Source organism: Homo sapiens, chromosome 7, assembly GCF_000001405.40.
Source record: "Homo sapiens chromosome 7, GRCh38.p14 Primary Assembly".
Classification (NCBI taxonomy): Eukaryota; Metazoa; Chordata; class Mammalia; order Primates; family Hominidae; genus Homo; species Homo sapiens.
The window spans coordinates 67,106,402-67,118,310 of record NC_000007.14 but is presented as its reverse complement, the minus strand read 5'-3'; the positions used below and the strand labels follow the sequence as shown (position 1 = coordinate 67,118,310).

General features: G+C 42.4%; 1 protein-coding gene, 1 long non-coding RNA gene and 1 other non-coding gene across 7 annotated transcripts in view; 2 read left to right on the top strand and 1 right to left on the bottom strand.

Moving 5' to 3' along the window:
- The window catches only part of TYW1 (tRNA-yW synthesizing protein 1 homolog), a 242,682-nt gene that overhangs the window by 121,204 nt on the left and 109,569 nt on the right, over positions 1-11,909 (bottom strand). For all 5 annotated transcript variants that reach the window (NR_134540.2, NM_018264.4, XM_017012392.3 and 2 more), the window contains one exon: positions 693-828. Coding sequence is in view for 4 of the 5 variants with exons in the window: in NM_018264.4 (NP_060734.2) it covers positions 693-828 (136 nt within the window). In the remaining variant the exon portion in view is untranslated. The remainder of the gene's footprint in view (positions 1-692; positions 829-11,909) is intronic.
- LOC124901664 (uncharacterized) overlaps positions 1-11,909 on the top strand; it is a 30,839-nt gene that overhangs the window by 16,272 nt on the left and 2,658 nt on the right. The window lies entirely within an intron of this gene.
- Positions 3,914-3,989, top strand: MIR4650-1 (microRNA 4650-1). The gene has a single exon (NR_039793.1). It is a non-coding gene; the product is annotated as a microRNA 4650-1 (primary transcript).

Genomic DNA, 11,909 nt, shown 5'->3' with positions numbered 1-11,909 from the left:
CTGTCACCCAGGCTGCAGTGCAGTGGCATGATCTTGGCTCACTGCAGCCTCCACCTCCCAGGTTCAAGTGATTCTCCTGCCTCAGCCTCCCAAATAGCTGGGATAACAGGTGCATGTCATCACAACTGGCTAATTTTTTGGTATTTCTAGTAGAGATGAGGTCTGACCATGTTGGCCAGGCTGGTCTTGAACTCCTGACCTCAAGTGATCCACCTGCCTCGCCCTCCCAAAGTACTGGGTTTGCAGGCAGGCATGAACCACCATGCTTGGCCTATGCGATTTTATATAAACTTGAGCATCTGTGGATTTTGGTACCCATGGGGAGTCCTACGACCAATCTTCCATAGATTCCGGGTTGGGTATCTATGGGGAATTGGTTCTAGGACCAACTGTTATTAACTTTGGGAGTATATATACCTCTCTCCTTAAATGAATAAAAGGCAAATGATACATACAAAGCATTGTGCTACAAACTTAAGAGGAACTCAATAATTATTTAACAAATAGTAAATGTTCAAAATTCCTTGAAGAAGGAAGTCTCTAAAAAGTTGAAAGTTATATTTCATCTTTTTTTATTTTAAAGAGAAAAGAGGAAAAAGTACCTCTGTTCTTTTCTTCCATCTTTCTTTCTTCTTAACTTCAGTACACACCTGAGGGTTGTTTATTTATTTTTAAGATGTCATAATTCTTACCTTGACTGCCAAGGCTTTTAAACTGTCAAGGAATCTCTGCCAGAAATCCTTGAAGAGTGGGCGGTCGATTTTCTTCAGGCTGTCTTTGGTACTGGCATCCACACTGACATACAGCTGAGTAACCGGCTCGAGGTTCCTTAGTAATATTTTTTTTAAAAGAAGAAAGAAAAATTATTCCTCTATCAGGCTTTCCATGATATAAAACCTGCAATCTGTAATAGACATGGGGATTAAACACTTCACTGGGTCTAGAGACTTCCACTTCCCCCAAAAGACTGAACTAATGATTTTAATCATGTGACAAAATGGGACGGCCTCTGGTTATTTTTTAAATGACTGGAAACCATCCCTAATACATTGAAAATATTGAATTACTTAAAATTGGTCCTTCTTCAAATACTAAGTTTGAATGGAAAATAAACAAAATGTGATCTAACTTCAAGTCTGACAGCATCAGCCCAGCACAATTAGAGGGGCTCTCTGATCTAACTTCCCCACCCACACACTCTGCCAACCACATGGGGTCTGTGCTGCTGGGCCACCTCCCTCCATCAATCACTGACGGAAGTCTTCTAAGGAACAAGAAACAATCCCAAAAGCTCAGGCCTTACTCAAAGGACGCAGAGTCACACCTATGCTTCCATAAGTGGGACTGGGTTTCATGTCAAGCCTTGGGTGGGCAAACAATGACCCATTTGGGGAACTTTAAGTAGTGCAGACCTAAAACAGTAGAAACCTCATACTTACACAGGACCACAGCCCAGAAGAAAAAAATGCATTCTTATTTTCCTTGCCTTTACAATCAGTTTCCATGAATACCACTCATTCTCCGCTTCTCTCAAATTCACTGCCTCATTTCATAATTTCATTCCTACCTACTAGATTTCTAGTAGGTCCTTCTTCTAGTAGGTCTTTTCCCCCGGCCCAATCCCCAGACAGGATCTCATTCTCATCCAGGCTGGAGTGCAGTGGCACAATCACAGCTCACTGCAGTCTCAACCTCCCAGGCTCAAGTGACCCTCTTATCTCAGTGTCTCAAGTAGCTGGGACCACATGCATGTGCCACCATACCCGGCTAATTTTTAAAATTTTTTTGTAGAGACAGGGGTCCCACTACATTACCTAGGCTGGTCTGGAACTCCTGGGCTCAAGCGATCCACCCACCTCAGCCTCCCAAACTGTTAGAATTAGAGGCGTGAGCCACTGCACCCGACCCTACTAGATTTCTTGCAAGTTCTACATTAAACCTAGACTATACTTTTTTTCTTTTCTTTTCTTTTCTTTTTTTTTTTTTGAGATGGATTCTCCCTCTGCCACCCAGGCTAGAGTACAGTGGTGCAATCTCAGCTCACTGCAACCTCTGCCTCCGGGTTCAAGTGATTCTCCTGCCTCAGTCTCCTAAGTAGCTGGGATTACAAGTGTACCGTGCCACATCCGGCTAATTTTTGTATTTTTAGTAGAGAAGGGGTTTCACTATGTTGGCCAGGCTGGTCTTGAACTCCTGACCTCAGGTGATCCACACACCTTGGCCTCCCAAAGTGCTGGGATTACAGGCGTGAGCCACTGTGCCTGGCTTAGACTGTACTTTTTCTAAAGCCTCTCCCCTTCTCTCTTCAAATAGGTCTCATAATTCAATCTCTTCAGTAAATTTAGAACTAGAAAAAACAAATTCCCCCTTAATCATCTTCTGATCAAATTCTCCCAATATTCTTTTTCTATAAGGATTCCACAATTTATTCCACATTTCCACCTAGAAGTTTTGTGCATTTTTTGTTTCAAAGTCCATGCATTTTTAAAAAATGAAAATATCACTCACATGCCATACAATTCACCACTTTATAATGGTTTATGTGCTTTATATATGTATCAGTAGCAGCCTTATCAATCTTTGAGTGTAAGATCTTGAAGAGCAAGAATCCTGTTTTTCTTTTTATCCAGCCACACAGGCAGATATTAAAGCTACTTTTTAGGAGATATTGTTGATTTCAGCAGACAGAATTTTTAAGGGAATATAGGCCAAACAGATGCTTGCAATGATGTGGCTTAGTGATATATAGAAAAATCACAAGTGTCTAGACTTCTGTTCACTTCTGTTGAAAGTGGAGAGGCTCTGACCAAATGTAGGACAGAGGTGATTAAGATCCTGGCAGGCTCTCATTGCTTTAATGCCTCTGCAATACCGATATACTAAGGGGATCCTTCAAAGTTCAGGTAATGTGCCACTACTGAGCAAAGCACGTTAATTACTGAAAATGTAAAACAAAAGCATCAGTAATAACAGCATTCTGTCTCATCACCCCTTTGCTGAGTGCCTCTTTAATAAAAGACAAGCTATGCTTCCTTAACTGGACTTCTATTTAAAAAAAAAAAAAAAAAAAGGACTGTCTTAATGGTTACTGCTGGCTATCATCATCTGATAACTAACAGGACTTTGTCAAAAGCTTCCTGATGCAAAATGAGAACTGCCCTGACCTTTTCAGTATGCTTCCATAACTACTTAAGATTATGAACAGCACATTCCAAAGGCCATACTCCTTTTACAAACCTCTATCATTTACAAAATAGGAAGCCCTGGACACTGACACTACCAATAAGGAATTCTAGCCAATACTAGATGTCTGAGATGCTACACTCAAGGAAGTCCAATAAGGAATTCTAGTCAATACCAGATGTCTGAGATGCTGCACTCAAGGAAGTCTACAGATCTCTTGTCAAGGAGCAGAGGAAGAATGGAGAAGAGGAAAAGGTCCCCAGGAATTACAGAGCTCATTTCTAAGGGGCTCAAAATTAGCAAAGAGACTTTTGGAGATATTTTCTGAGCTTTAGGGATCTTATTTCTGCCTCACACTGGTCTCTATTCACCCAGAAGAGATAATGAGGCTCCCAGTAGAGTCAGTTATCTGTCTCTATTCTATACAGAGATAACAAATGTTCCCAAAAAGCAAAAGAGTCTTACATCATCAAAATCATCATAATAATTCCTGTATCTGAGAATCTCAACAGCACTGCTGGGAGTAATTAAAAAGGATATCCTCTGCTCTCCCAAAAACAGACAATATTTAAGATAGACAACCTTAAGCCCAATCCTCTGTACAAATGCCCCAGGATTCTTGATCTGAGTACTGTAAGGACCCTTCATCTTAATTTTAAATCTCTGAGTGAAGAATTATCATATATAAAAATGTGCTGATGAACATAAAAATCCCTCTCCCATGTTGCCTTTCTGTAGAGATTATCAGGCCTCTTTCTACCTTCCAAGGCTCAGAAGGTAGAATGAGGCCTGACATATCTGCAGGAAAAAAAAGGAGAGAGATTTATGTTTGTAAGAAATTCAAGTAAACAGTGACTTTGAAGCTCCTCCTTGGGATAAAAAAAATAAGCAGAGTGACCCAAACAAGCAATGATATTAAAACCTAAATCTCTAAGACAATCTGAGGCTGTCAGATCAAGCCAAATAGCTCAGGAGGAAGAGGGGAGGAGGGTGAAAGAGAAGGAGAGAATTATTTACCACTCAGCGAGCTGGCACACTCTGCTGTGTGCTTTACCCTTCTTGATCAGTTCACTGAATCCTCACAATAAAACGACCACGCAGTTGCTACTTATGCCCATTTTAGAGACGATGAAGCTGAGGTTCAAAAGGTTAAGTAACGTGTGCAAGGATCTATAAAGAATAAGCATCATGCCGGGCACAGTGGCTCATGCCTGTAATCCCAACACTTTGGGAGGCTGAGACAGGAGGATCACCTGAGGACAGGAGTTTGAGACCAGCCTGGCCAACATGGTGAAACCCCATCTCTACTAAAAAATACAAAAATTAGCCAGGCATGGTGGCGCACGCCTGTAATCCCAGCTACTCAGGAGGCTGAGGCACAAAAATCACTTAAACCCAGGAGGCGGAGGCTGCATGAGCCAAGATTGCGCCACTGTACTCCAGCCTGGGCAACAGAGCAAGACTCCACATCAAAAAAAAAAAGAAAGAAAAAGAAAAAGAAAGAAAGAAAGAAAAGAAAAACAGTAAGCGTCAAGGAGATTCAAGTCCAGAGATGACTCCAGAGCCTTTCTCCTAACTCTGCACCATGATGGCAAAATCCACAGTGTGGCTCAGTGTTCAAGTCACAGCGGTTACATGTAACAAACGGTATTCCATAAATGAAAAATCCAAGAGAATACGGATGATCTGTGAAATGCAGATTCTGACTGCAAAGTCCTAAGAGAAGCCAAAACAACAAGTCCTCAGGAAGAAATTCTGAACTTAATTCTTTTCAGGGGCTTATGCACTTCATTCAACATTTATTCAGGGATTACTATGAACTGCACACTGAGGCCAAGAGGCTCAGCCCTTAATATTTACATTCTGGAGGGAACAGAAGATGGATGAGAGTCCCACCACGCAGCGCCATGACTAAGGTGGGGAAAATGTAATGGGTATAAATGGAGGAGTGAGTTGATTTTGCTTGGCAAAATCATACAAAAGACGTAACAAGGTCAAAGTCAAAGCTGATCTCTGAAGGACACAGAGTTCATCAGGAAGAGAATGAGATCATTTCCACGGATGTCCAAAGAAGAAATGCAAAGGCCTGCAGCTGTGAGATGCAGCAGGATAAAGGAATCACAAACTATCCCCCATGGTTCTAACATGGCAAATGGAATTCGGGGATGCCTGCAGCCAGGTCTCATGTCCTGCCAGGGTTAGGTTTGGCTTACTGAAGTTTTATGTAGCCAGTGACACAGTCAGATCAGTGCTGATGAAAGTCACGTGGCTCCAGTGTGATGGATGGATTAAAAAGCCAGCACAGCGCACCGTTCTGCATCTGGCTCCCCTGTGCCTCCCACTTATCACCAATCCAACAACCTCTTAACCACAATTTAAAAATCCAAAAAGCTCTAATAACAAAAAGGTTGCTTTTCTAAGTTGGGAGACATACTTACCTCGAAGTAGAATCTGACTTACAAAGCTGTTTGTATTCTTAATTTTTCTTTTGTTTTCTTTTTTTTTTTTTTAAAGACAAGAGTCTTGCTCTGTCACCCAGGCTGGAGTGCAGGGGCATGATCTTGGCTCACCACAACCTCCACCTCCCGGGTTCAAGCAACTCTCCTACCTCAGCCTCCCAAGTAGCTGGTTCTACAGGCACGCACCACCACACCTGCCTAATTTTTGTATTTTTAGTGGAGATGGGGTTTTGCCATGTTGGCCAGGCTGGTCTTAAATTCCTGGCCTCAGGTGATCTGCCTGCCTCGGCCTCCGAAAGTACTGGGATTACAGGCATGAGCCACTGTGCCTGGCCTAATTTTTCCATTTCTGTGACTAAGCATACTTTATTGTAGAACTAATTACATGTGTGTGGCTCTAGGGTGCTGGAGATATACCATAAAATACAGTGGATAAACTGTATTGTCTTTCTAAAATTCTGAAACACTTTTGGGCACAAGGGGTAAAAGATTGTGAACTTGTAGAAATCATTCCATATCAATACATAAAGAGCTTTTGCACTTTCTTTTTTTTTTTTTTTTTTTTTTTGTCAGACAGAGTCTCGCTCTGTCACCCAGGCTGGAGTGCAATGGCACAATCTTGGCCCACTGCAACCTCTGCCTCCCAGGTTCAAGCGATTCTCCTGCCTCAGCCTCCGGAGTAGCTGGGATTATAGGCACCCACCACCATGCCCAGCCAATTTTTTTGAATTTTTAGTAAAGACAGCGTTTCGCCACGTTGGCCAGGCTGTTCTTGAACTGACTGCAGGTGACCCACCTGGCTCAGCCTCCCAAAGTGCTGGGATTATGGGTGTGAGCCACCACGCCGGGATCTTTCTTTGATTTTCTAACAACTACAGAGAAAGAATGTACTTTGTGATTTCTCTTTGATATTCTGGTTATTTAACAAGTGTGTTGTTTAATTTCCACATATTTGTGAATTTCCCAAATTCTAGTTTGTGAAGTTCTTGATCATTATTTGTTCAAATATTCTTTCTTCTCATTTCTCTCTCTCCTGTCCTTCTGGAATTCCCTTTATAAATATGTTGGCATGCCTGAAGGTGCCCCATGGGTCTCTGAGAGACTTTAGTGATAGTCTATTTGATGAGTCATCATTTTCATACTTTTGTTTCTTTGAAAATGCTTTTCTGGCCAGGTGTGTTGGCTCACGCCTGTAATCCCACCACTTTGGGAGGGCGAGAGGGGCAGATCACTTGAGGTCAGGAGTTCAAGACCATCCTGGCCAACAAGGTGAAACCCTGTCTCTTCTAAAAATACAAAAATTAGCCAGGAGTGCCACATGCCTTAATCCCTTGCTGCTCAGGAGGCTGAGGCAGGAGAATTGCTTGAACCCGGGAGGCGGAGGTTGCAGTGAGCTGAGATTGTGCCACTGCACTCTAGCCTGGGTGACAGAGCAAGATTCCGTCTCGGAAAAAAAAAAAGGATAAGAAAATGCTTTCCTGTAGTTCTTTGAACACATTTAAAATAGCCAATGTCAAATCTTTGTCTAGTAAGTCCAACATCTAGGCTTCCTTGTAGATGGATTCTATTCTGTTTCCTTTCATGTGTATAGGCCACATTCTTGTTTCTTTGTATATCTTGTCGGTTTCTTTAAACACTAGACATTTTCTTTTTATTTATTTTTTGCGACAAGGTCTCACTCTGTCCCCCAGGCTGGAGTGCAGTGGCATGATCATGGCTCACTGCAATCTTGAACTCCTGAGCTCAAGCAACCCTCCCAACTCAGCATCCTCAGTAGCTGGGACTACAGGCATGCACCAAAACACTTGGCTAATGTTTTAATTTTTTGTAGAGACAGGGTCTCACTATGTTGCCCAGGCCAGTCTCAAACTCCTGGCCTCAAACAATCCTCCCGTCCCAGCCTCCCGAAGTTCAAGCAATGACAGACATGAGCCACCACGCCTGGCTATTATTTTAAATATCATTAGTGGCAACTCTGGAAATCAGATACCTCTCAACCCAGGTTTGTTTGGTTTGGTTGGTTACTTTGGTTTTGGGAATATTGTTTTGTTCGTTTCTTGGTTTTCTTTTTTGCTGTTTGTTGTGCTTATTTTTGCTGAAATAATTTGGTAAATTCGATATTCATTGTTGTGTTTGGCCACTGAAGTCTCTGTTTGGTTAGCTTAGTGGTCAGCTCATTAATGGACAGAGATATCCTTAAATGCTTCCAACTGGTAAGCCTCCCAGCCTTTGTCGAGGGGCTCTGTGTTTTTGTTAGGGGATGCCTTCATCACCCAGGCAGGCAGTTTGCAACTCTGCCTTGGTTTTCGCTGCCTGCTTACTCAGTAAGAACCAAAAGCACAGGGCCTTCTCAAGTCTTCTCTGGCATGCCCACAGCCCTGATCGTGTGAGTGGGGTTGGAGATTCCCAGGAATACGATGGAGCTTTTCAAAGTCCCCTATGACATCTCATGGCCCAGCTTTTCCTTTTCCATTTATTGGTGAGCTTCTTGTCTGCCCTAGCTGTTAATGCCACATGAGGCGGCTTTGTGAAGCTAAACAATCGTCTATAATTGTTTAGGAGAAACATCCAAAGGCTTTTTGCACCAGACAAACTTGAGTCACTTCAAATAAAGACAACCCCTGTGAGAGAAAGTTTCCAGGTTTGCCATACAAGTCATATATAATGACAATTTCCCAGGAATGAGACTTTGAAGGAGTTCCCACTCTGTTTTGCCCCCTCCCACAGCGGCTGGGCTGCTGGTTTTCACTGTGGTTGTGAGCTACTGGTTTTCTTTTTTATTTTCTTTTGAAAGGGAGTCTTGCTCTATCCCCCAGGCAGGGGTGCAATGGTGCGATTTCAGTTCACTGCAACCTCCGCCTCCTGGGTTCAAGCGATTCTCTTGCCTCAGCCTCTCGAGTAGCTGGGATTACAGGTGCCCGCCACCACACCCGGCTAATTTTTGTATTTCAGTTGAGACAGGGTTTCACTATGTAGGTCAAGCTGGTCTTGAACTCCTGACCTCAAATGATCCGCCCGCCTCAGCCTCCCAAAGTGCTGGGATTACAGGCGTGAGCCACTGCTCCCAGCCGAGCTACTGGTTTTCAAGGCTAGGGAAAGTGAGAATGGAATAGAACAAGTTAACATCACAAAGCTCTTTTTTCTTACTGAGATGCAACCATTTTTTCGTGAATATATGCTCCTCACATTGTTGCATGCCTTTGGTTAATTTCCACAGGTAAAAAACAGTCGCTTGTGATCATTTTTGCCAGTATTCTCATTGTTTTCACAGAGAAACAAGATTTTTAAGGTCTGTGCTCTGCTATTTCTGCTGACATCCAACCCACATATTTTGTTTTCTTATCTATCATCATTCATCAATATATTTTCTTTCTTTTTTTTTTTTTTTTTTTTTTGAGACGGAGTCTCGCTCTTTTGCTGAGGCCGGAGTACAGTGGCACTATCTCGGCTCACTGCAAGCTCTGCCTCCCGGGTTCACACCATTCTCCTGCCTCAGCCTCCCGAGTAGCTGGGACTACAGGTGCCCGCCACTGCGCCCGGCTAATTTTTTTGTATTTTTAGTAGAGACAGGGTTTCACCGTGTTAGCCAGGATGGTCTCGATCTCCTGACCTCGTGATCCGCCCGCCTCGGCCTCCCAAAGTGCTGGGATTACAGGCGTGAGCCACCGCACCCGGCCTCATCAGTATATTTTCTATTTTCACTGTAACTTCTTTTTGACCCACAAGTAAATAAGAAGTGTGTTGCTTAAATTCCAGAATATTCTAATTATCTCTTGGTATTGGTTTCTAGTTTAATTCTATTGTGTTCAGATATCATGCTCTATACAATTTCGACCCTGTTTTGAAATGTCTATAATGTTCAGCAAATGGCCATTTGGTAATTTTTCTGTGAACAAGTTCTGTGCTCTTGAAAAGAACCTGTATTCAGACCAGACACGGTGGCTCATGTCTGTAATCCCAGCACTTTGGGAGGCCAAGGCGGGCAAAGCAGCTGAGGTCAGGAGTTCGAGACCAGCCTGGCCAACATGGTGAAACCCCGTTTCTCTCAGAAAATAAAAAAATTAGCCGGTGTGGTGGCGCGCACCGGTATTCCCAGCTACTGGGGATGGTGAGGTGGGAGAATCACTTGAACTCAAAAGGCAGCGGCTGCAGTGAGCCAAGATTGCACCACTGCACTCCAGGCTGGGTGACAGGGTGAGACCCTGTCTCAAAAAAAAAAAAAAAAGAAAAAATCTGTATTCCAAAGTTACTGGTTGGAATGCTCTATTTCTGTGATATAGGTTAAATTTGTTAATTCCATTGTTCAAATCTTTAATACTCCTACTAATTTTATCAGTTTGAGAGAAATCAGTTAAAAATCTACTACTGTTCCTCGCCCTTTGTAGTCTGTCAATCTTGAGACTATATTATTCAGTGTTAAAAATTTTGAGTTGTTATATGATTTTATGTTTCTGGTGGGCTTAACGTTTTATTATTAAGAAATGTCCATCTTGTCTGGGCGCAGTAGCTCATTCTTGTAATCCCAGCACTCTGGGAGGCCAAGGCAGGCAAATCACTTGAAGTCAGGCATTTGAGACCAGCCTGGCCAACATGGTGAAACCCTGTCTCTACTATAAATACAAAAATTAGCTGGGCATGGCGGTGCATGCCTGTAATCCCAGATACTCGGGAGGCTGAGGCATGAGAACTGCTTGAACCTGGGAGGTGCAGGTTGTAGTGAGCCCAGATCGCACCACTGCACTCCAGCATAGGAGACAGAATGAGACTCTATCTTAAAAAAAAAAAAAAAAAAAAGTCCATCTTGGCCAGGCATGGTGGCTCCCACCTGTAATCCCAGCACTTTTGGAGGCCAGGGTGGGAGGATCACTTGAGCACAGGAGTTCAAGACCAGCCTGGCCAATATAATGGGACCCTGTCTCTGAAGAAAAAAAAAAAAAAAGTCAATCTTATCTCAAGTAACAGGTTTTGCCTTAAAGTATATTTTGACCAACATTACTTAGCCTGCCTTGCCAAAGGTGAAACTTCCATGTTTCATGTCTTATCTCACATACTCGCAATGCCACCATAAGGCAGTCATTATTATTATTATCATTTTACAAATGAGGAAAGCGGGCACTGAAAAGTTATCCTCCAACATCAGAAAGACACCAGGAGATCCAGTCAAGATTCAAACCTAGCCCACAGCCCAAGCTTTTTGCCACCTCTCTGCACTTTCTCTCTCTCTCTTTAGCCCATCCAGACATGCATGTTTCAGAAAAATATTCCATGAACTCAAAGACAGGAGAGAAAATTAGATTTTAAACTTCATATGTTTAGTGCAAACAAGATAGGCTGGGGGTCGGGGAACTTCTATTGAAAGTATCAGGCCGTATTTACTTCTACTGAAACTTCTATTGAAAGACTCAGGCGGCAGTATTTACTTCTATTGCAAGAAACTTCTATTAAAAGAATCAGGCAATATTCAATCTTCATTTCATTGTAGCTGTTTTCTGGAACCATTCTGAGCTAACACATACAAGAAAACTGCATGTTTATTAAACTTCACTCATCTCTTCAAACATATACTATGCACCTAATACGTAAAGAGACATCCAGTTTATAGAGGTTCTCTAAAAGATGGGGTGAATGTCTCAGCAAAAACTAAAGAAAACAAAACACAAAGCAAACAAAACAGAAATACAGAAGTAGCAGAGGAAAGAGAATAAAGTTCCTACATAGTTTCAATGAAAAGGTGTTCGAAAGTAAACGTACACAGGGATGAAATTTGGGAGCAGGAGGTGAGTCTGAGAAGTTAATCATGTCATAGTGAAATGCTGAACACAGCTCTGTCTTCTTATGATAAACCTGCTAGCAGCCAAAAAGCTTTAGATTTACAGTACTCACCAAAAAAGAGCTATGAGATTCTAAATGTAAATTTTAAAATAATGTAAAATAGATGATTATGATACATAACAGTTAACGTGGACTAAATATGAAAATAAGAGTTTGTGAGTCTACAAATGACTACAAATTTGACTCTGAACTCTGGCACACTCATGAAGTGGGAGATGCTGTTACAGGATTCAAATGTCCACAAGATAAGAACAAACCAGTTCTCTGAGGTTCCTCAGAGGGAAGAAGCTATTCAGTGTTGGGAAACATCCTCCTCAACAACTTCCTTGCCTTACAACACGATGCCATACAGAGATCTGCTTTTACAAGGTGTCGTCAGCATTACAGCGTGGAGCTATATATAAGAAATGACTCTATGGAGTCTTCCATCGCAGC